This window comes from Homo sapiens, chromosome 5 (assembly GCF_000001405.40).
Source record: "Homo sapiens chromosome 5, GRCh38.p14 Primary Assembly".
NCBI classification, from domain to species: Eukaryota; Metazoa; Chordata; class Mammalia; order Primates; family Hominidae; genus Homo; species Homo sapiens.
The window spans coordinates 2,695,790-2,720,502 of record NC_000005.10 but is presented as its reverse complement, the minus strand read 5'-3'; the positions used below and the strand labels follow the sequence as shown (position 1 = coordinate 2,720,502).

Here is a 24,713-nt window from a genome sequence, read left to right as displayed (position 1 = left end):
CTCTCTCAGGAAACTAAGAGTCTTGCAAAGTGTCTGCCTCTGCTGTCTTCTCTTCGTTTTCTTCTTTTTCTCTGCTGTTGGTGAATGTACCCAGCTCCTGTGACTCCACATGTCTTCCCCTGCTCCCATCCCACCCCTAACTCAGGTGGCTCTGTTTGTGCTGGGGTCCCGGCACAGTCAGTTCCTGCTGGCAGCTCATCCCATGGCTACTGGTGAGCTGACCAGCTCCTGGCGTGGCACTCTGGGGCATGTGAACCTAAATTCCTCTTCACTATCTGCAAGTCAGGGAGACCTTGGGTAGGTGGTGGCGGGTGTGCAAGGACCGTCTCGGGGCCCCTAACTCCAGCCCTTCCTTCCCTCCCCTGGTGGAAAAGACACTCTGCCTGTGTCTGGCTCTGTGGGCACCCTCTCCGTCCTGTGCTCATAGGCTCTGGTTCTCAGCATCTCAAGGGAGGCCTTGAGAAGCCAGGACATCCTTTTCTCCCTCAAGGACATGGCTCTTGCAATTGAAAACTTGGCTTCCAAATGTAGAGGCTCCTTTGTTTTTTTGAGACAGAGTCTCACTCTGTCACCTAGGCTGGAGTGCAGTGGCACGACCACGACTTACTGCAGCCTCGACTTTCCAAACTCAAGTGATCCTCCCACCCCAGCCTCCTGAGTAGCTGGAGTAGCTGAGAATACAGGTGTGCAGCACTCTGCCTGGCTATTTTTTTTTTTTTTTTTTTTTTTTTATTAGAGACGAGGTCTCCCTGTGTTGCCCAGGCTGGGGGCACCTCTTGGAAAAATGCTATTTTGAAAGTCAAAGGTAAGTCATGATTATTGTCTTTCGGCTTTATCCACCAAAAATCAGTGGCTTCCTGGACTCAGGAAAAAATGAGCCATTAGCCAGATAAGAGTCAAGGGGAAGTCAAAATATATTGTGCAAAAGAAAATAACAATACCTTTAAACACATTTTACAGCACGTGATCCCAGGACAGGAACTTTCGCAAATCTCCGACAAAGACAATAGACTAGAAGAGCAGGTTTCTCAATTCTAGAAACAAAGTCTAGAGAAGGAAAAACTCTTCCTGATTTCTAAGAGCTTCGATGGAAGCCTCTAGAGCCAGAAGCTGGAGGGCTTGAGGCCTGGGCAATTGTCTATATTTCTCTCTATCAACACGTAATCTATTGTCTGTCTGTCTGTCTGTCATCTATGTATCTCATGAATAATCTCTTTGGGGAGACTGGTTGAGTCGTTTTGTGATGCGGTCTTTAAACTCAGACACCAAGGGCTATTCTGGTAGACAGACAAAAGCCTGCATATTACTTCTTAGAGACAACAGAGACAAGTTGACTAATCAATTAATTAAACATTTCATTTATTCTGTTAACAATTTATTCATTCAACACCACCTACAAGTGAACTATAGGTAAGGCACTTTTCCACCTATGACCAAGAACTGCAAGTGGAAAAATCAAGATAAAATATTGCTGCATGTCAACATTAAGCATAAAACCTTTAAAATGTCTAATTGTTAATTCCAAACCAGAAGATGTTTTGAGAGTGGCATAAGAAAGCTATTGGATTTCACACTATGAAATAATGAGTAAAGAAAAAAAAAACCCTGAAGAAATGTTTTCAGAGCTCAAGAGTTAAACCCTTCAAAATCATTTTTTTAAAGATAAAATTTTACTTTATGGAAATCATGAGCCATGTTACTACAAACCCAGTTCAACCCACTGCATATAAAAACCCCATCACCTTGCCTCAAGGTAAGAAAATAAAGTTTACTGCTATTGAATCATACTAAAATATTCATCTGTCAGTACTTTGTCAACCATGGTTTTGATGGCATTTAAATTGCATTTAATATAAATTTAAAGGCATCTCCATTTGATGTAATGAATAATGTGGTGCCACCATCAGCTTCAATTTTACTACCTTAAATGTAGTAAGTTTCAGCTGCCTTGATGCGTTTACAGTTGGAAGTCACTTGCTATAATATATTTTTTAAAACACTTTGTTATTTTAAATGTGCAAATAATACTGAAGCCAGAGGTGGAATCCCAACATTAATATCATGCTCTTAAATAGGTGCCGTGAGCAATTGTCGGGCAGTTCCGCCTTCAGTGGTGCCTCTTTTCAGCCTACGGAGGGCTCCCTGGCTGAGTTGCCACCTCTGAAAATACTGATTTTAAATATGCTGACGGCACCAGCTTATGCACCGGCCTTCTTTAAATATTTTATGCCTGCATAATGGGGGAGCATCATCATTCTCTCTCTTCTTTTTTTTTTTTTTTTTTTGCATAACATTTTCCTTCCTCTGTTTTGCTGTTACAAAAATGGCTGATAAAATACACTGACAATTTTCAAAAGTAGGTGTGGTCAATTTCTTGGGGGATTGGTCTAGTAATAGATGAAAGTGTAAATTGTAGAGATTATTTCTGGTGTTTGGGGTGTGTGTGTGTGTGTGTGTGTGTGTGTGTTGCTTTCAAAGAGAATAATGCACACTGATGGTAGAGCTGGGTCCTGAAGGATGATGACTCCAGCAGACATGCTGCTAATGCCAGTGAGCCACTGGGGCAGTGACCCCCTCTGGGTGCCATGAAAGGTGTGAATGAGAACAAGACTGCAAAGGCAGAAATACACCTGGCCAGGTAGCATTTTGTATGAATTTGGACTTTAGCTTGAGGGTAATGGGAAGGTATAAAGGGTTTTAAATCAGAGCAGTGGTGATTTTCACAGTAGAAAAAGCCGTTGGGTATCAGTATTGATGAGAGTTTGGATGTCGTGAAGTGGCAGACAAGGGAATCTAGATGGTTCTGGATGAGAGATGATGAGGGACTGAGCCAAAGCAGTGCCAGTGGGAACAGAGGGGAGGTGACAGATAGGAGAGGGGATGGGGAGTGGGAACGGGCACAGCTCAAAGAGGGAAAGGGGAGGCAGGAGGATGCCAGCACTGGTGAGGATGACAGGTGTATGGGAGCCATTGCCAAGACAGGGCTCTGGGTGCCTGAGGAGGTTCTGGTACCAGTTTTGATGGTGACGACACATTAACTTTGGACCTGCAGTGACTGGGCGTTCTTTAGTAGAAAGTTGACATATTGGTTTGCAGATTAGGAGAGAAGTCTGTCTGGTACTCCTAGAAGGTTACCAAGTGTGTTTGGTAAGTAAACACAATGGATATGGTTTCTCCCAAAGAGAGGGAGTTAGATAGGGCGAGAAGATGGCAAAGTCTCACCACCCCTTAAAGGAAACATGAGATGCATTGATATCTCCCATGCCAAGGGATCGAACAAAGGGGACAGGTTTAGAAGCTGTGGAGGCCAGTTTTCCAGATTTGACTACGGGGGACTTTGCCGAACATTCCCAGGCCATTTCTCTTGAGTGGTGCGAGGAAGAACAAGGTCGTAGCTAGTTACGGTGCAGTGCAAAGTGGAGGGTAGAGAAATGAGCCTGGGGTCTCTGACAAGGTTAGTCATGAGCGGAAGGAGGCGAGAGGAGAGGTGGCCAAGGGAGGACACCCGTTTTGAAGTCCAGAGTGCCTTTGGTTATGACAGTCAGTGTCTGTAACTTGAACTGTGTGGGATACTTATGAGCAGGAAGCCAGTAGGGCAGGAGTAGAATCGTGCCTTGTGTTGGTCTCTGTATTGAAAAAAGTTGAAGGCTCCTGAAGAAAGGAAGACGGTTCTGCTCTTGGCATTCAGATAGGACGAAAGCTTCCGGCGACCAGATGAGTGGCATGGTATGTCAAGATGCTTAGCAGTGCTCATGGCAGAAAGTACATATCCCTGAGACTGTTGATGAAGCATGAGCTATTTCAGTAACTGATGACTACTCATCTATAAACTGCAAATTAAACACACAGATGGAGGCTTAATTGTAGGTAGTTTGCTTAGACTGTGCAAGAACCAACTTCATTTTCGAGAAAATGGCATACTAAATGTTGTAGATGATAGCTCAATATTTTCTTAGGTTTAGGTTATTTTTTCTTTTATTTTCCTTTCTAAGGACCTGTGTTTGCCTATCAGATGGCAAAAGAAAAGTGTTGACATTTGAAACCGAATGTATAGGGTGCAAAACTTCAAAAGAATGTGATTGAAAACATAGAGTCTGTTTTCTTCATAATTCTATAGTGGTTTTGCTTCTCCTAGGAGAGCATCTGATTGCAGATTTCATGGAGATACTCAACATGCCAGAATGAGCGGGAATGCCCTTGCTATGCGCTTTGTGGAGGGCGGTGGAGCGGCCTGTCTGATGATACCTTCTCCCTTTTCACTGGGTCTGACATTCATGCAGTTGTTGTGCTCTCAGACTCCTGAGGCAAAGACCCCTTGTGCGTCCCATTTATTCTATAGGGCTTGTGAATTCCTGCCTGGCCAGGGAAGGGCTGCAGCCCAGATGTTCCACTGCAAGGAGAAGCGCAGGGCCCCTGGGCCTCCTGGGCAGGGTGGAGTCCTCCCAAGGGAGGAGGGAGGGAAATCTGCCCTAGCACAAGGTAGCCTCCCATCACGCCTTGGCCCAGTGACCTCCGGGCTCTCCCCAGGGACAGTCTGTTCTGGACGCAGGCACGTGTGGAGTCCATGAGTCAGCTCTGGTTAATTTTACCCCTCAGTATGAGTAGAAGCCTGCAGTCTATTTGTGCAAATGCCCATTCTTGTTGTTGTTGTTGTTGTTTGAGAAGGAATCTCACTCTGCTGCCCAGGCTGGAGGGCAGTGGCGAGATCTCGGCTCACGGCAGCCTCCGCCTCCTGGGTTCAAGCTATTCTCCTGCCTCAGCCTCTTGGGTGGCTGGGATTACAGGCACACACCGCTACGCCCAGCTAATTTTTGTATTTTTAGTAGAGACAGGGTTTTGCCATGTTGGTCAGGCTAATCTCAAACTCCTGACCCTGTAATCCACCCACCTCAACCTCCCAAAATGCTGGGATTACAGGCGTGAGCCACCATACCCGGCCGCAAATACCCATTCTTACATGTGGCAGGCATCACACATAAGATGCCTTATGCCTTTTGATGAGTCTAATTTTTCTCCAAAAGACACCATGGAAGGGAGCTCTCGGAGGCTGGGGCCCACGCCTGGACCACAGTCAGTGTCTGGGGTGTGGGTGGACATGAAGTTCCCGTTCCTTCTCTTGGGGAGGTGCAGGCTCAGGGGGCCAGGATGGGCGGCAGTGGAGAAGGAGGCTCTGGAAACCCTTTCCTGGGATCTGGTCTAGTGGTAGGAGTGCGCCATCCTTGGCGGGAGGGGGAGCCAGAACACACCAGCCTGTGCATAGGCAGTGGTGCCAACTATAGGACACAGATGTCAGATGTGGGTTCCAGTGGAGGCTGAGCTTGCCTTTCCGGGAGAGGCTACATTGTGGGGCAAGGCAGGCAGGGACCTTCGGCAAGCTCCTTTTCTACCCTGCAGTTCAGAGGTTTGTAGCTGGCAGGCTGAGTGGGTGGAGGTTGAGGCAGCACCTGCAGTGTGAGAACTTTTGGGACTTGGGCAGGTAGAGCTGCAGCCAGGAGCCCGGGCCCTCCTGAGAGACAGCTTGATGCATCCCAGCAGGGGTGGGTGGAAGGTGCCCAGCTCTCTGCGCCAGGCAGGGCTGAGCAGAGAGAGGAGCAGCAGGCAGAGAGAGTGTTCAAAGCCCAGTCAGACCAAAGACCCAGCTGGGGCAGCAGCTCCCCCGAGAGCGGGGGAGACATTTCTGAAGCCAAGGTCCCATCAAGGTCTCCCGAAAGACGTAGATCTTTCCACTCAGCAGGCAAGAGCCTCAAGACCAGACACCCCTTGCCGGTGACAGAGCATCGGTTGGGTACCACAGCAGACCTATGATGCTATTGGACTCAGCTCCATGCCCAGCCCCACTGGCTCTGTTTCCGCCCCTTCCCCCATGGGTCTCCCACCCCTGCCTGATCACCCAACTCACAGCCTGCTACGTGGGGGAAAGAGCTTGAATTCATTTCATCACTAATATTAATCATTTCCAACATTTCTATTTTAAAAAATGCCTATTTCTCTTTCATCTGTTTTTTTTACACATTTGATTTTTATGTATTTACTTAAGAATGTAATATATACTTACTTAGCTCAATGCCCCTGAACAATCGCCTTGCTATTTCTGTACCTGCCTTGCTATGTCTTCCCTTTATGAGACTCTTAGTTGTTCCCAAACCCAGTGTTCCAGACCCCATCCTGAGCGGAAGTTCCATTCACCGCTGTCTCCTCCAGCTCCAAAGCCAAGCCTGGGTGGGCTCTCCTGCTCGGGGCTCCAGTCCGCAATAGCCCAGGGTGGGGTCCTGCCTATGGGTACTTTGCAGGTCCATATTTCAGTATTGAATGTGTCTGGGGTATTTCTGGCAGAAGCTCATTTCAGCAGAAGCCCTGCCTGTGTGGGAGAAGGGAAAGCAGTTTCAACCCCTTCTCAGTTCACAGTCAGAGTCCAGTCACCCCGGAGCCCCTGAGGCTGTCACCCCATGATGAGGTAGGGTTTCCCACCCTGGACAGGTGTTGGCCCTGCTGCTGGTCTTCTGGGTCCACAGTGGTCCTGTGGCCACAGCACTGATCACCCCAGGGACTCCAACCCCATTTCTGTACCACAGAGATTCTCCTTCCTTGCTTTCATGGGCGGCTGTGCTTTTAAAAAAAAAATTAAATATTCCTTATCCACCTTATCCATGTGTTTGGAGGGGAGGAGAAGATTCAGTGCTGACTGTATTGATCAACGTGATCATGAGGTTAAGTAAGTTGTCTAAATCATGAAAAATTGCCTTTAGAAACATTTAGGAGAATATAAAACTAACACACAACAATCAGTCACCTTTTTACCTATCCACATTACCTCTTAGAAGACATAAGGAGAGAGAAACATCTCGGTTTAAAATAGCAGTGAAAACCACAAAGTTCTTAGGAATGATCTTGATAAACGATGGAAAACCTAAGGGGAAAAGCTTCCAAATGCTTTCCAAAGGCTCCCAGGTGGACTTGACCAGCTGAAAAGCAGTTCTTGATCTTCGGCAGGAAGCATGCTATCATAAAGTTGTCAAATTCTAGCAGAGCTAACAGACAAATTTAACACTAATCCAGTTCTAAGGCCAGCAAGAATTTTTTTTTCCTTGCTCTGTAGCCCAGGCTGGAGGGCAGTGGTGCAATCTCAGCTCACTGCAAGCTCCGCCTCCTGGGTTCACACCATTCTCCTGCCTCAGCCTCCCGAGTAGCTGGGACTACAGGCGCCCGCCACCACGCCCGGCTAATTTTTTGTATTTTTTTTAGTAGAGACGGGGTTCCACCGTGTTAGCCAGGATGGTCTCCATCTCCTGACCTCGTGATCCACCTGCCTCGGCCTCCCAAAGTGCTGGGATTATAGGTGTGAGCCATCGCGCCTGGCCCAGCAAGCATTTTTTATAGCTATACATTGGTAATAAAGTTTACATGGAAAAACAGTCATGCAACAATAGCTAGGAAATCCCTTAAAAAGATGAGCAAAGAGGAAGGAGAAGCACCAGGACACCAGGCATAAAAAAAACAGCTGTAAAATCTCTGCCACTAAAGTGCTGTAGTTCTGGTGCAGGGTTTGACAAATGGGCCAGTGGAATAAACCAGAAAGGACAGAAATAGACCCAGAGAACATCAGACTTCAGTAGATAATAAAGGTGATCATATATGACCAGAACAAAGGTAAACGCCCTCAACGGAACCGAGTATCCACTTGGAAAAGCAACAATAACATACAATTGAAGTCACATCCCACTCCAAACAACAGAACAAACCCCAAGGACATCAGCAACCTGCATGATAAATAGAATGAGACTACATTTGTACTAGAACACAAATTACTAGAAAAAAATGTGTTTTTGACTTGAGTGGTGAAATTCTTTGTTATGGCTCAAATAACAAATAAAATACAGGAAAAAAATAAAAATCCAACAACGTATAAAAGTTTGCATCTGCCTCCTGCCACTGGGGGTGGGGGGGAACCCGTCGTAATCAAAAGCAATGGCCGCTGGGAAAAATGTTTCCAACTCTTACCCTAAGGACTAAAAATGCTAATTCATAAGAATATTTCAAACCATCGGGGGAAAAATGACAAAAACACTTTGTAGAAAATTGGTAAACAATAAAAATAAGACATTTCACTGAAAAACACATAAAGATTCCCTTTAAACACATGCACAGATGTTCAGTGTCGCTGGTATTGAGAGAGCCACAGCCCTGTTGCTTGGAATCAGGTAGTTTCTAGCAAATCTGCCCAGGCAGTGAGCCTTCGACCCTGAGCCCTACTTCTTGGTATTGGGCCAACGATTCGCCACATACACACGGCAGACACGCACAGAGGGCATCACACAGATGGGGGCAGGACATTGACAATCCCTGCCTGGAGTGGGTTGAACAGTAGCCCCCAAAAGGTATCCACGTCCAACCCCCAGCACCTGTAAATGGGACTTTATTTGGAAAAAAGGTCTTTGCAGAAGTACTTTAGTTGAGGATGTGAGAAAAGGAGCTTATCTAGGATTACCTGGGTGGGCCCTAAACCCAATGAATGGCAAGCGTCTTTGTGACTGTGAGGCACAGGGAGCTCAGACACAGGCCCGGGGAGGAGGGCACCAGGAGGCAGAGGCAGAGACTGGGGCCATGCAGCCACCAGTCAAGGAACAAGTGGGGGCAACAGACCCCGGAAGAGGCAGGAAGGCTCCTTCTCTTCAGCCTTGAAGGTAGCGTGGCCCTGTGTCACCTGCATGTCAAACTTCTGGCTTCCAGAACTGTGAGGGATTAAACTTCTGTTGTTTTAGGCCGCCCCCTTTGTCGTGGCACCCCAAGACGTTCCTACAGTGAACTGTGTCATAGAGATGTTGATGGTGACAGGGACAGCCCCTCACAGAGCTGCGTGGTCACAGGACACGGAGGCGGAGGGGGCGGGCGTGGAGGCAAGTTTAGCAGGGCGTGTTTGCTGCGGGTGCACTCAGGGATGGCTCGTGTCGGAGAGAAGGTGAAGCACAAACAGACATCCTTCCTTACTCAGGGAAAAGAAAACCCAGAAAGGACAGCCTAGAGCAGGCGAGGAAAACAGTTCCTGGAGAGGCTGAGGAGGGAGTGGAAGTGCTGATTTTTGCAACATGAAAACCTCTTACGTGGTCAAAAATACAATTATTAATTTTTTTAAGTTAAAAGGCAACCCTAAAACTGAGCACAAACAGGAACAAATCCATATCGAACTGATAAAAGTATAGGAGAAAAAATAACCAACTGACATGTTGAAGCCCTGTACTCTGTGTGCTGTTAGTGGGATCTATTCAAAGGACAGCATAATAGGCTGCTGAGAAATATTTGAGGGATATTAAACACATGAATTGAAGTATGTCACATGGAAAAAAAAGATCAGAAATATACGTGGTAAAATGTGAATGAATACTGCCTTTCCCCCTGGTGGTGGACTTATATATGATGTTCGTGCTCATCTGTGTAGCTTTTGGTATTGTGTGATTTCAACAAGGAACATACTTTTTTAGTGATCAGGAAAAAAATGCAGCTAATTGTTTTGTTTTGTTTTTTGAAAATGATGGTATCAGTTGGTACAGACGGCAGAGAATAGAATCTCAACTAAGTTGTATATGTTCTTATAGAACAAGCTAAGGCACCTAAAAGACAAGCCTATCAGAAAAAACGTGGAAGGAAATTTTCCTGTCTTAAAAAAGAAAATTTTCAATGCTCAGCATATTCCAGGAAAAATAGTGCTTGCAAATGTATTATTTTTTAATCACAGAGATGTAAAAAGGTATTGCTCTGTAAGGGGAGCAAAAGTGAGGTTTACCCCAACTTCTTGGCAAGACCAACTCTATAAAGATTTAGGAAATTATACTTTTATTTCAGCGTTTTACACCCAGGTGACTGGTTGTTTAGGCAGGAAGGCAATGAAAGCTAGTGTCCTGTAGAGCACATGTGTTCACCGTTCCCTCTTTCGAGATTGCTTTCTGGTGGCTTCCCATGTCTTCCCCAGGTGGCCAGGAGACTCAGAGGAAGCCGGCCGCTCGCCCCGTCCACCACAGGCCTGACATGACCAGACTAATCCCAGACTCTGCCTGCAACTGGGTCAGAAATGAGAATAGACCCAATTCAGATAAGGAGACCTAAAGAGAGATGTGTGGAGGCTGCTGGGAGAACCATCTGATTGTGACACAGAGCCATGTTCACCCAGGAGGCATGACTGAGGGAGAAAGTGTGTGGCCTGGAGGGGCGCTGGCAGCCCTGCTGTGACCATGAGGGCTTCCAGGCCTGGGATGAAATGACTGCTCCATGTCACAGAGCCAGGGGCAGAACACGCCTGCAGCATTGATGCTGCCTTTTAACTTCTCCACCCGCCACCTGCGCAGCCTCCCTCGCCTCTGCCCTAGGCAAGTCCAGGCGCCTTGTTCTGGCCTGTTGCAGCAGCACTTGTGTCGCTGCAGCTGAAAGCTTCCCGGCAATGTAGACATGTCACCCTGATAAACAGCCTCAGCCAGCAGGACGCTTAGGGACCTTTTTTAAAAGATAAAACCTACAACTTCAGATGCAAAAGAAGCCTGGGAGTTGAAGCGAACACACATGGGGCAGAGAGGCTGAGAACGGCCTGGGGCCTTAGAAGGAAACATGGACGGAATCCCAAAAGAGGCTGGAGAGGAGGTGATGGAGGGTCTGAGTATTGAGAGGAAGGTGAGCTGTGGCTCCAACCTCAGATCTATCAGGAAACCAAGGGTGTTGGAAGATGGTAAAAATACACTACAATTGCATCTTGTGTTAGGAAATGAAAGTGATCTTATATTTGCTTTTAATAATAAAAATATGAATTAATATTTCTAAATGTAAAGTAATCATGCAAATAATTGAAGGCAGAATGAATATACACTTTATTTCTTCCTAGAAGAAATAAAGTAAACTAAATATAGTTCAGGTAGCAAAGACAGAAAACATCAAAGGCATTTTCTCAAAGGCAAAAATAAGTGACAGAAGGCCAAGCAGATCATTTTTATTAAAAGAAATAGGACACAAAATCATCGACGCCAGAATCCTGACTGCATTAGAAATGCAGGTGCACAGAATAAAGACTAAAATGAAATTCTGCATATTAAAATGATGGGCTAGTCAGATCACACAGGTGATTCATTGTATTCTTTAAATTTTTATTAATAGTTCACGAGTGCATTTATAACCAGAAACTTACCGTGCACTTAACTAAATCTGAAATACGAATGTGCAGTTATGAAAACGATAGGCAGATCTTTGGGGTTTTATTTTTGTCATGCATTTTGCATTAATAATTTCACGATTGACGGAATTTCCCAGTGCCGGTGCCCTAGGCTGGTGGGCTGGTGTCCCTGGGCAGTGGTGTGAGATGCTGCAGAGCGTTGTCTTGCCACCATCTCAACCTCCTGCCCCACCCTGCAGGGCCCAACAAGCACCTGCTGCATTGAGGAGAATCACTGCCCTCCACGTCTTCTTGGAAGAGTGAGTCCCTGGCAGAGAAAGTTCCATGTGGCCTGGAGAAGGCCTCTGGGAGTGGGGCTTGAAGCAGGTTGGAGGGACGCAGGACCGGAGACCACCTCTGCTGCTGGGAGGGATGGGCAGGGCCGATGTCAAGGATGGCAGTGATCCTGCTGAGACACTCGCTGTCTCCAAGGGTGTGGCAGCAAGGAGTGGAGACCCGATGGACCAGAGCCGTGCCCTGGAAGCAAAGAGTGGTGAGGAGAGCGCAGGATAGGAAGGTGGGAACATTCTGGCATTTCCGAACGAGGACATTGGCCAATGGCCTGGATGCGGCTGTCCTGAAGAACATGGAGTTCCAGAAGGAGCACAGGGTTCAGGCCATCCGTCCCCAACCCTAAGTGAGAGGATTCACGTTCCCAGGAAGCTGGCTCTTGGGGGCCTTGGCTCTGGGACAATCCTGTCGCTACCACCGGAGGCTGGTCTTTGGGGGAGAACACAGATTTCATTTCTCGTGAAGGGAAGCACCTGAAGCAAGCCTGTTTATGGATGCAAACATCTGTTAAAGCCACTCCGCTTTTTGACGAGGAGTTAAGGTGTGTCAATGCTCGAGTCCTGAGACCCGGGGATAAGGTGGAGAGGATGAAGCCCTGGGGAGGGGCCGGTGTCTCTACGGGAAACACCTGTGGGTACACTGCCCCGGATGGCAGCTGTCCTGTATCCGGGAAGGACAACCTGGCATTGCAAGTGTGTAGAGATCGCCGTGGTGCAAGCTGCTCATGGTGCACTCAGACGGCTCGTCCTGAGACGGCTGAGGCTGCGGTGTGAATGCTGGGGACAGGGTGGGGGTGCCCTGCCCTGCAAGGCTTTCTCACCCTCACCTTCGCAGTAGCCCTGGCAGGCCACAGACTCCTGTCTCAAAGTGAGACTCCTCTTTATTTTATTTATTTATTTATTTTTTCAGTTTTTGTTTGTTAGTTTTTTATTGATACATAGTTGTACATATTTTTAGGGTACATGTGACATTTGAACTATGGTTCTGGAATGCTTAAACTCATTTACCCTGTCAACTAACATTTACTGAACACCTCTGTATATATTAGATGTTCTCTGACTCTTCTGTATCTGACATTAAATATCTAAATAGTTCTAATTGTAGTGATTCCTTATTTATAATGCTGGGCATTATAAATAGTCAGGCTTGGGCATTTTCTGTCCATATACGTTTATTCCTAGAGCCTCTCCTGAGTTTCTTTTATTTATTTTTTTAATTTTATTATTATTATACTTTAAGTTTTAGGGTACATGTGCACAACGTGTAGGTTTGTTACATACGTATACATGTGCCATGTTGGTTTGCTGCACCCATTAACTCATCATTTAGCATTAGGTATATCTCCTAATGCTATTCCTCCCCCCTCCCCCCACCCCACAACAGTCCCCGGTGTGTGATGTTCCCCTTCCTGTGTCCATGTGTTCTCATTGTTCAATTCCCACCTAAGAGTGAGAACATGCGGTGTTTGTTTTTTTGTCCTTGCGATAGTTTGCTGAGAATGATGGTTTCCAGTTTCATCCATGTCCCTACAAAGGACATGAGCTCATCATTTTTTATGGCTGCACAGTATTCCATGGTGTATATTAAACCCTAAGTCACCGAGAGAGCTAGCTGCTAAGGAAAACAGAGCCAGATCACTCTGAGGAGGTCACTGTCAGGGAGATGGAGGTGAGAAATTCGTATGAGAAGGGTCTTACCCAGCCGCCCTAAGATGTCATCAGGAGAGCCAGAAACTGCAAGTCAGGTGTCATAAATGCCAGGGGCAGCTGCAGGACGGTGTTCGGGCTGAGAGGTAGCGGGTGGGAAGAAGGAGGCAGCCTCTGGGAGTGATGAGTGGACTGTGTGGATCTCCTGCTGAGGGCCTGATCATTTCTACAGGAAAAACGCCACGCCAGGGGTTACTTAGCGTTAATGTGAGGATATAGAATTGTTTCCCAGGTGACCTGTTGGTAATTCCTGTTTTATTTAATGTCCAGCTGTTTTTTCTGTAGTTTTTTGGTTTCTAATTCAACATCTGGAGAAGCTCATTAAGTGGGGGACAATTCGAAGGCTGAGCAATTCTCTTCTAATTAAAAAAAGCAAACTAATTAGGAATATGTCCAGGGTGAGAGATAAAAAAACAGAGACTGTTTTTTCTTAATGGGTAGGGCAATTTGATGGAAGAAAGGGGATGCATTACTCACCTGGGTACATCAAAATGAACTCACTAATTACAGTACAGAGTTAGATAAAAACGCTGTGTTTCCTGAATGTAGTCTAATCCAAACATTTTTAAATGAATAACGAGGTCATGTTTTAGTAACCTTGACTACTGCAATAGCATTTTCTCATAATGTTTTCTTTTTCATCATCATTATTATTTCTTTTAATGGCAAAGAGGGAGCATTTTCTCAGATGACTCCCAACTCATGCTCGGAACTCCCCTGTCTCCACACCCCTCTGGGACGCCTTGCCCTCCTGCAGGCAAGACCCCTGTGTTCCTGTCTTCCCCTCCCTTCTTTGTCCACATGGTCAGCACTGGCCATTCTTTTATGATATTTCCAAGGTGTATTTTGATAACACTTCCTCCCAAATCCCTCATTCATGCCTTAAAACCTCTTAACTTGGACTGCCCCAAAGCAGTTTCTAAGTAAAGAATTTGGGGACAGGAGTTTATTTGGGAGGCAATCCTAGAGGCCAGGAAGGGGCAAGAGTTGGAGAGAAAAGTGTGCAGGAAAAAGAAAGTGTCCCCCTTACAGTCCCCAGGCTGTCACCATCATCCCTGTGCTTGCTGCTCCCAGGATGCCGCCAGGAGCAAGACAAACCTGTGCACTTGTACACCCGAGTTCCTGGTGCCAGCCCGATGGGCTCCCTCTGTGGGCCGGGGCACCTGAGCTGCAGCTGCCGGCTCTGAGTTCCCAGTGCCAGCCCGACGGACTCCCTCTGTGGGCTGGGGCACCTGAGCTGCAGCTGCCGGCTCTGAACTCATGGGATTCCCAGCCACTCTTCCTTGCTCCTGGTTTCCACGTTCCCATTCCAAGCTCACACCTCCCCAGGCACCCACAGTGAGCCTGCACCACCATCCCCTCCCTCCCGTCACAGCTCACACTTCTCTAGACACCCACAGTGAGCCTGCACCACCATATCCCCTCACTCTCATTCCAGCTCACACCTCTTTAGACACACAGTGAACCTGCACCACCATCCCCTCACTCTTATCCCAGCTTACACCTCTCTAGACACACACACTGAGCCTGTACCACCTTCCCCTAAGACCCAACAACTCACACCTCCCCAGATACCCACAATGACCCTGCACCACCCTCCCCTCACTCCCAGCACAGCTCACACCTCACCAGACACCAACAGTAACCCTGCATCCCATTCCCTCACACCCGTCAGAGCTCCCACCTCCCCAGAAACCCATAATGAGCCGCATCCTCATCTCTGGGTCACATTCCTATTGTTGCACTCTTGCCCGAGATGTTCCAGGAGCGCCTGGTTTGGCTGTTCCAGCATCCCCTGCTCACCCCTTCCCAGGACGTCTCAGATCCCTGCACAGAAGCGTGCTGTGCTGGGCCAGCTTTCCGGCTGCAGGGCTGCCCACTGCATGTTAGCTGCAGGCCTTGGGTGCTAATTCCACATCCACCTGCCGAGGGGATGCTCCTCCGCATGTGCAACTCCCCACGCTAGGAGGGGAGCAGCTCCACAGCAGACAGGGCCTCTGAGCCCTGCCCCTCTCTCCTGGAAGTGAAGGCCGCAGACCCTGCAGACCACACTCTCCCTCTGCTTGCCTCTCCCCAGCCTGGCCCAGGGGAGCCCTGCAGAGCCCAGGGGAGCCCAGGCCTTGATTTTGGAATGGAGTTGCCCAATGCCTGTTCTAAAGAGGTAGTTGGGCTTTGAGGCCTCTGCGCAGGAGCCTCACTCGGGAGAACCCTGTATGTCCAGGAGGAGCCACCTTGGCATCCGTCGCCCCTGCTGGTGCATAAACATCTGAGGTTTGCTGCTTAGGCATTTTCAAACTGACCATGCTGCTACCCCAGAACCAGCGGTCCCCATGTATATCAGCCTGTCTGAGCAGGCAGAGGATGTGGCCCTGGGTGGCACAGGGAGGCAGAAGTCACCCTGTTCCTCACTCAGCAACCTCTCTCTCAGCAGCACTGTCTACCCTGCATGGGGTGCTCTCAATGCACTGTCTGATGCCAGCAGCACCCCCCAAGGCCCCTTCCTCTTACCTCGGGTGTCCGTGTATGCATGGGTGCTTAGTAGCTCTATATGAGAAAAGGAGGTGGCTGCTTTGCAACAAGAAGTAAACATCTTAGCATAATTCCTGGTTTCCAAAGTACAAAAGAAAAGGTCTCTTTCGGCAAGAATGCAAACTTTTCTGTAGTTGCCGCTTCACATAGTTGGAAGGTTGGCCTGCAAACGGCCACACGTGCATGTTGGACCTATGACCACTGTGAGAAGTGAGTCTTTTATTACTATTATTATGATTTTAGTTTTTGATCTTTAAATTATATGTGTGTGTATATATATATACACACACATATAATTCTGTTTTGTCCCGTTTTGTCCTGCCATGTGGCTCCGTGGAGCAAGCACTTGGCTTTCATTCCCTCGCTTTTAACTGGCTCTCGTGACGCCAGCCACTCATCCCAATACGCAGTAAGCAAACCTTCCCCCAAACTCTGAGGATTTTCCAACTCCATCAGCGCTCCCCATCCTCAGCCCAGACCGATGTCCATGCTCCTGGATCACTTTCGCCCGTCTAATACGAACACTTTCCTGCTGGTACGTGAGGCCCGATCCGGACCCTCTGAACAGGAAGGGTACACCCTCACCAGGGCGGGGGAATCCCAAACAGCTGAACTCGTGCGGTATCAACAGGCTGAGACCTTCCTAACACGTTTCACTTCTGATCTTTTAAAGCTGTCAGACCAGAATGATTTTCAGTCACTTTGCTCTGGAGTGGATTTAAAATCATGTCCCTAAGGTGGTAGATTAATAGATTAAAAAGGTAAAGTATTAGGCTAGCACTGCATCCTGTCTCCTTACCTGTAAAGGATAGTACAACTGTCATAAGGTTGTGGCAGGTCTTCAATGAAATATCAACGTACTCCGAGCAGCCTTCTCAGAAACTTGGCGGCTGACCATTACCGTTGGGCCAGATACTCTTCAGCAGGCCCAGATGTGGGGGAGGAAGAGGCTGGACCCACGTCCTTGAAAACACCCAGCTTTGCCGCCAGGTCCCAGGTTCTAACTCGCTCCTTCGGACACAGGAGAATTCCAGTAACTCTCGAGCGGTGTGACGACTGTGTGTTTATTTTCTCTATTTTCTTGAAATACATAAATATTATATTTTCGATAATAATGAATGTTGAGTTCCCAAGGAAAGCAGAGAGGAGATGTTAATGGCATCAATCCACTTTAGCATTTTGCTGATAAGAATTTCAGAATAAAAAGGCGAGCTCAGAGCAGCCGCTCTCTGAAACCTCGCCAGCTTACTGGAACTTTTTTTCCAGTCATGAATTTGCTAAAGTGTTTCTGTGTTCAGAGGATGCTGAGATTTTAGTGCCTTCTCTTGCATTTTGCAGTTTTGTGGTCCATTTCTGGAGGAGAATTGGGCATTCTGCTTAGTAAGAGAAAAAGACAGCTTTAGTTCCTCTCTCAGTAACACAAAACTCATCCCGACACAGTGGAATTCCAGGAGATGAGCTTGTGAAGTCCAGAGCGTGTCAAACATGAGGTCCCCTCGCCGTGCACGTGTGAGTGCATGCACGTGCCTCTGGGGCTGGGTGAGTTGTAGGGAGGCTGTGTCTCCGTCCCTGCAGGGTACACGGTGCTCACAGCTGACGTGTGTGCACCTCCTGCTGAGCGTGTGCGAGGTTTGAGGACAGAGCCTCTGCCCTTTCCTCTATCTCTGCATGTACCAGGCATACAGTAGGCAGTCAGTGCAGGCTCAGTGCACATTCGCCTGCTTGGCTGAATCCATGATCCACATCGGCACCTGGAGCCTTCACGCTCCTTCCGGAACAACCTTTGTATACCCTGAAGACACGCTTTGGCAACTCTTCCAATGAGTTGCTCTTGAATATCATCTGTGCTTTAATATACCTAATGTTGAATGACGAGTTAATGGGTGCAGCACACCAACATGGCACATGTATACATATGTAACAAACCTGCACGTTGTGCACATGTACCCTAAAACTTAAAGTATAATAAAAAAGAGAAGAAAAGAAAGTGTTCGAGACTTTGTGCTTTACACGTGGCCTTTGGAACCGACTGCCCTTACGAAGGGAGGCCCAGGAGCAGACCTCTCTGCACGCCTTTCTCTCCTGCTCAGCACACGCGGGACCCAAGCAAAGCACAAGGGGGAGTTTGAACGCTAACAGTACAGGCTCATCTCAAAGGTGTGTTTTCTTCTGACATTTCAGAAACAAAAACAAATTCTTCCCGAGATCCCTTCGCCGTCTCGCCCCCTAAATCACGAGGATGTCTGAAGCTTCATGTCACTGGGATCGTATTTTCTATGGTGTTCTTTCAAAGTATGTTCCTGGAAAAGTACTTTGGGAGACTGAACCTGAAAGTCTTAGAAATTATTATTATTTTCTTTTCGCTGTGCAGCAATGGGGCAGAACGGCCCTCGAGGTCCCCACAGGCCTCTAGCATGTCTTGTCTGCATGAACCCTCTGTGGGGCCCCCATGCACGGGCTGGTGGGGCTCGGCGGGGGGGTCCGGGGCTTTGCTCATTCTTAAGCCAGGCCCCGTGGAGCTGCCAGGCGGTGCCACTGGACACAGACGGCTCCTTACAAAGACCGAAAGAGGAGATGGGTAGGGGAACAGGGGGTTCAGGTATTTGGAAGAGTGGAGGTCCCTGGAGGGTTTGTGGGGATTAGAGACTGGGGCTGAGGAAGCGAAGAGTTTGCCCGGAAGGCTGTCTGGGCTCCATCCGTAGACCCTCTGATCGCTACTTTAGAAACTCAGGTTTTCTTGCGATTGCAGTTAGTGCTCGACTCTGTTTGGAAGCTGGGCATGTTTTGCTTTTTAAACATGATTCTGGAGTGAATTCAGCAACGTGCCTTGTCGGGTTATGCATTTGTGTGCAGAAGGGTGTCATCTTGCAGGGCGTGAGTGCACACTCGATGGGTACATGACCCCACAGGGGCCAGTGCTGCCCACCCTGAGGCCGTGGGCTGTGGGGCTGCTCACCTCTGCCTCTGCTGGTGGATGATGACAGTTTGCCTCACACGGTGAGAGAAAGAAGCTCCGACCGGTGTTCTTCAGGCTGTCCTGCCAGGTGGGAAAGGCCTCGGTCCACAGAACTAGAGGGCTGGGGACAGAAACTTTAAGAGTCCCAACACCCCCAGGGACCAGAGGCAGAGGACCCAGCAATGAGATGGAGCCCTCAGAGGGTAGGAGGTGCAGCCGAAGCATGAAGTGTCCTGTGGCCATGGGAGGAGCCAATTTCCAGAGGGCTAAATATCACCAAGATGTCAAACAAGAGAAATGGGGAGATGTGGCCTTACGATTTATCTGGCTGGGAAGTCTGCGGTAGTGACAGCAGTCAGATCAGTTCTGCAGAGGAGTGCGAGGCTGAAGGCAGACAGAGCAAGGTCAGACCTTAATAAATATTTTAGATAACCCAGCATCAAGAGTGTGGCATCTCTCACAGTCCCAGTTATTTGTATCTGAGAGAAGTACAGAACTTTTCCCAGAGGTTTTTGTGAAATGCGAAAGGCATTTAAGCTTATCCATTTTGCAAATTGATCTTTCAGCCTTTGAGAATGGAGTGGTGTTCCATGAATCCCCCTTCCTCGCCTCAAATGCACATTGTGAAAGGCCTTGCAGGGAGAGGTCGTTTATCCGTTGTAACTTGGGTACGAACCACGGTGTCCACCAGGCACCTTCCAGTGGCGAGCAGGGCAGGGTGGGGACAGGTTGTCCTTGCAGAGATCAAAGTGGATTCACAAGCAGAAGCGCTGCTTGGCATCCTAGGCAGGGCTGGCTCTGGGCTGGAGGTTTAATTACCGATGGAAGGGGAGGTGCTGGATGGGTTTTCTCCATTTCAGCTGCAGGCACAGTTCCCAGACCTCCTGCCAATCTAGAAACAATCAGAGGAGTGAAGTGTGCATGGGGACCAGGGGTGAGGTGGAGGGCTGGGAAGGCACTCGGAAGAGAAAGATAAGGGACCCCGAATGCAGGATCCCAGAAAAGCAAGGCCAGTTTAAGGCCTGAATGAATGCCTGTCTATTCTCATTCTCTCGGGCTTTCCCTCTCCCTGGTTTGCTGTGGTTGGCTGTAGAGAGAAGAGAGAATTGGGGATTTTTGCTGGATTTGCTTCTGCCCCTGGAGAGCCAGACACCTGAAGTAATTCTTAAGTTGGTTTTCATTCCATTTAATATGTAGGAGTGGCAATGTTGGGTGCCACCACCCATCCTGATTTTGTACCCTAGACGAGTATAATTGAGAGGAAACGCCGGCTGGGAGAGATAAATGGGATGGGATGGACTCCATCAGTCTTTGCTAGGTTCCATCTGAAGCCATTGATCTGAGTATTCAAATGCAGACCTGGTGGGAGGATTGCTGGGGCAGGGGGAGAGCCCGAAGGGCGGTGGCCACAGGTGGCTCTCCTGGATGCCTGCAAGAGGCACTGGCAGGATTGGGTCTGTCCTTGTCCTCATGTGGGAAGTCCTAGTTGGAGGTGAACTCATTGGTTTTCTTGCAAGGAGGCTGCATGTTCTCTTGATTCAGGATGGAAAGTTGACAAGCGGCAGGATGTCCATGCGGTTTTATGTTTTCATTTTTCTTGGATACACAGTTCGGGTCTCTGTCGCGTGGCCTCAGCCTGAGAGAGGTAGCTGGGCCCAGGGCTGGGTGGCTTCTACAGGTGCCTTCGCCACTCAAGCCCCTCACCTGGCTCTGGTTCCCATTCTGGTGCCTTCTGAGAGACCTATCTTCCCCGGGGGTCTGAGCCCTTAGCTGTGCCAGCACAGGGTTCTCTGCGGCCAAAGTCCACGTGCAATACGGAGCGCATGATGAGTCCATGTTGCAGGTGAAGGAGAAGCGTCTGACCCCACGCTCTCAAGCAGGTGTCCCGTGGCTTTCTCGAGGAAGGCAGGTGCGCTGCAGTGTGTGGGCTGCTGGCTCAGCAAGCAGGTGCCGCCCCGCCCCCAGGCCACCTTCCTCACCGTGGCTGGAGTTCTGAGGTCCCGGGCTCCAGGCAGAGCCCAAAGCAGGTGCCACCCCGCCCCCAGGCCACCTTCCTCACCCCAGCTGGAGCTCTGAGGTCGGGGGCTCCAGGCAGAGCCCAAAGGAGAGCCGGGCCATCCAGCTCCTCAAGGGTGAGCACTGTGCCTCTTCCTCTCAGAGTCGCCCTCAGTGTCTTCAGAGTCCTCACTCCCTGGGCACCCCCTCCCCGTCTCTGCTCTGCCTTTCTCAAGAAGCTCCTTCTGCCCATATTTTCCAGTATTCCCTACTGGAGGGTGGGAAGGGCTGCTCAGTTCAGCCGGGCTGGGCCGGTGTGTGGAGGGCCTGCAGCGCCCCCACCCCTGCCTTGGTCTTCCCTGCTCCCTCGGGGTCCCAGACAAGTCCATCCTCTGTGTCCAGGCATCCTCTGACATGGAGAGATGAGTCCTGACAGCCCCTCCTGGCCCTTGGGGGCCGGCACCGTCAGGGCAGCTGGACACCAATGGTAATGGAGGCTGCTACCGGGCCACTGCACCAGGAGATCAGCCTCCTGTGGGCAGCAGGCTTCATGCTCTTTCTCCTTCTTCCATGACTACCTTGTCCCTTTTCCTGGATGAGTAAATGTATGTGTTCCTGGGGCCGCTGTACACATTAACACGGACTGGCTTAAAACAACAGAAAGTTATTGTCTCATCATGCTGGGGGCCAGAAGTCCAAGATCAAAGTTCCAGCAGGATCGGTTCCTTCTGGAGGCTCCATCCTTGCTCTGTGTTGCCAGTCACCCAGACACAGCCCTCTCTCTGCCTCCATTAGCACGTGGCGTGCGCCTCCATGTTTTCTCCTGTTCTGAGTCTTTCAAGGACACTCCCATTACACTTAGGACGCATCCCGACCCAAAATAGCCTCCTCGTGAAGTTCTTAATTTATTTACATTTGCAAAGTCTCTGATTTCAAACAAGGTCACACACTGAATTTCCAGCAGGACATGCCTTTCCGGGAGGCCCTGTTCCACCCACTCTAGGAAGGGTCACTAAGTGGCATCTTACTCGCATATCAGGAAGGTCAGCGGTGCTCGGACGACGCACAGGCCTCCGGCTCCGTGGCTGGTGTCCTCATCGCTCTCCAGGTTCGGGCAGACTTTCAGGCTGGGTCTTGCCCTCTGATGGACAAGGTCATGTCCAAAGAGACCCAGTGAGAGCCAAGTGAAGAAAAGCATGTTTGTTTTACTTATTGCATTTTATCTTGTGAATATGTTAACTATTTTATAATAAACCAGTCAATGTAGTTTCTAAGGTAAGGACAAAAATTTAGTCCACCTATGGAAAACCTAGCGTCCATGGAATTGCAAAAAAAAACTTATGTGTATATTTTCTTTAAATTTTTCTTTGGGCTTCCTGTTGCATTTTGTGTTGGAAATTTGAGACCTTCTGAGAATCCCTTGAGAGAATGGGAGCATCTTAGATTCAGAGATACTGCTCTGAAAAATCCTAGTCCCTGGCAGAACACAGCTTTCTGGCATGAGGAGAACTTGCACAGCTTCATTCCAGCTATCTGGGGAGGCCTGAGGGTTTGACCCATGCCTTTTCTGTGTTTTGGTTTCTTCCTATTTAAAGTGGGAATTAATGAAAACAGAATCTTTTTGCTTTGCCACAGTGATGTCAGGACAAATGTACCACGAGTGCCTGAGAGTCCAGTCTTCCCCAAGAAGAGACAAGCACGAAGATCCTAGGAGGAAGCACGCTGACGGGGACTAGTCACGGCCACGACACCTCTAGTGTCAGGTGAGAAACGTGACTCACAGGGCAGGGGAGGAACAGCTGCTTTCTCTGGCCCTGGTGTGCCCAGCAGCAAACCACTGGCATCTGCTCCCAGGGCAGCCCTGTGGCCCCTCGAGCTGCTGTGTAACCAGCTCCTCTGGGAAAGCACAAGCCCTTGGAATGCTCTCCAGCTCCCTTGTGAGTAATTTTCGAGAAGAACACAACTTTGCCAAGAACATCCCGCAATCTGGGTGTCTTGTCTTTGAAGACTTTGGAAAATTTGGATGACGTGCCTAGCGCCATAATTTATACTTCAGTAGGTAAGGCTGATCTGGGGAAACGCAACTTTGACTAATTTACTGGCAGGAGGTTGACTCTTCCCGGTGACACATCTGCAGATCATTTTCCCTCCATGCTCTGTTTTGGGGTTTTTGGGTTATCAAAGCCCCAGCACACCTGCTGGCCGCACGCACATGCTGCACTGGGCCTTCCCCGAACGCCCCATGTCCGCCACCTGGCGTGGCCATGGAAAAGAGTCACACACGGAAGAGGGGTGACAAGCAGCCTCTTTGTGACTTCACTTTTCCTTCTTCTTCTTAAGGCCGGTCTTCATCAATGCAATGGAATCATCCATGTGTGGCTCCCGAGGAAAGAAGGTGTGGTTTACTGCCAGGTGCTCTTCAGAGCTGAGTCCCTCTAACAGCAGGCCTGTTAAGGCGTGGCTGCGGCCTGAACCCTCCGGCTGAGCCTTTGCCTCCCAGGTTCCTGGACATCCTCCACTCACTCCTCTGTTTGTGGGACCCTGCCTGGCCTGTCTGATCCTCCTTGAGATTTTGGCCCACATATATCAATTTCTCTCTGCCCCCATGCAGTGGTAGTCACCGTTCTGTCCCCCGCGGGTGCTGGTGAGAAAGGTAAAAGGGCGGTTCCAGAGCCTGAGGGCCTGTGAGTGCAGTTTACATAACTGCCGAAACTTAAGGAAGCGTCTAAATAAAAAGAAACATGTTAACCCAAAATGGTTTATTTGTTTTTTTTTTTTTTTTGGTTTCCAGAGCTCATGCAAACATGCAAAAAATAGAGTAAGAAAAAAGCAATTCTTCTCACAAAACAAGCAAGCAAATAAAAACAAAGCAAAAAAAAAAATCATCTGGTGAAAACAAACCCTGCTCCGCAGCCACCTGCCCAACCGTGGAAATTCAGGTCACGTGATGGCCTGGGCTGTGTGTCCTCCTCTCAGGCCTGGCGACCCTGGATCCCAACAGGCAGGGTCTCCTCCACTGGGCCAGGGGCCTCTTAGGCTTTTGCGATTGACATCAGCGACTTCTCTCTTGCCTGGACACCCAGGAGACAGCTGGCTAGGATGCCTAAGGAGACTGTGGGGGATGAGGTCAGGGCACTCTGGTGCGGGGATGCCGAGGTCGAACCCTCCATGGCCAGGGCAGCCATGTAGCTCCCTCTGGCCTGCAGGGGAGGGTGAGCAGACTCAGGCCTGGGCAAGCGTGTGGTGCCACAGGGCAGCAGGGGTGTGAGTTGCAAGGTCACCTGTGGCTCTGGGCTGCTTTTCCACAGCCAGAGAAGGTTTGGACTCAGTGGCCCAGAGTCTTGAACGATGGTGCCCCTCCCCAACTTTGCGTGCACTTCATCTTGTGGGTACAAAGAAGCATTTTCTTTCTTGTTTTTCAACTTACTCTTCCTCGTGATTCTGCTAGCAAACAGCCAGGGGTGCTGGCCCGGGCGCTTGGCCGCGCGTGTGTTTGCTGGAGATGAAGCCTCTCCCTGCAGTTCCAGCCACCGTGCAGCCCACTGGTTTCTTCCCCCTAGGGTGACTGCTTTCCTACAAACAGGATTTCATGGCACGCACTCCCATTTTATATTTCAGTCCTCAAATGGCACAACTAAGTCAGTCTTAGTAAAGGAAAGACAGATCCAATTATTTGGATAACAGAGAGCGGTGTTGTTCACGTTCATGCAAATCAGGCCTCTGGACTCCATAAGGTTACCTTAAAACCGAAGGAATGAAGCAAAGAACAAAACAAAACACCAGGGACCTCTGAAGTTCACACAAAATCCCAGACAGGAACGGGGGGAGCTGCCCACCCTGGATTGAGGGGAGAGTTTATTTCTCAATCTCCTTTTGTTTGCCTGAAGAGCTTCCAAATGATCTTAAGAAAGACAGAAGGAAAGAAAAAAGGCAGAGGAGAGGGAGGAAGTAAACCAAAGGAAAAGAAGGCACCCAGAGATGTCCTTAGAGGGAGCTATTTACATCTGAGGCCTAGGTGGTTTGCTTTTAAGAACTCCCTACTATTTCA

General features: G+C 48.9%; 1 long non-coding RNA gene across 1 annotated transcript, besides 3 other annotated features; it reads right to left on the bottom strand.

Moving 5' to 3' along the window:
• Nucleotides 1-5,265: 5,265 nt before the first annotated feature.
• Nucleotides 5,266-7,912, bottom strand: LSINCT5 (long stress-induced non-coding transcript 5). The gene has a single exon (NR_145480.1). It is a non-coding gene; the product is annotated as a long stress-induced non-coding transcript 5 (long non-coding RNA).
• Nucleotides 10,185-10,686: an enhancer, noted in NCBI's record as "H3K4me1 hESC enhancer chr5:2709931-2710432 (GRCh37/hg19 assembly coordinates)". NCBI's record gives its function as "activates a minimal SCP1, AML or CMV promoter by ChIP-STARR-seq in primed H9 embryonic stem cells {active_cell/tissue: H9 hESC(primed)}" and the evidence as "EXISTENCE:reporter gene assay evidence [ECO:0000049][PMID:30033119]".
• Nucleotides 22,349-23,548: an enhancer, noted in NCBI's record as "BRD4-independent group 4 enhancer chr5:2697069-2698268 (GRCh37/hg19 assembly coordinates)". NCBI's record gives its function as "activates an origin of replication core promoter dependent on BRD2, P300/CBP, MED14 and CDK7 cofactors, and independent of BRD4, by STARR-seq in HCT116 cells {active_cell/tissue: HCT116}" and the evidence as "EXISTENCE:reporter gene assay evidence [ECO:0000049][PMID:35650434]".
• Nucleotides 23,823-24,339: an enhancer, noted in NCBI's record as "H3K27ac-H3K4me1 hESC enhancer chr5:2696278-2696794 (GRCh37/hg19 assembly coordinates)". NCBI's record gives its function as "activates a minimal SCP1, AML or CMV promoter by ChIP-STARR-seq in naive H9 embryonic stem cells {active_cell/tissue: H9 hESC(naive)}" and the evidence as "EXISTENCE:reporter gene assay evidence [ECO:0000049][PMID:30033119]".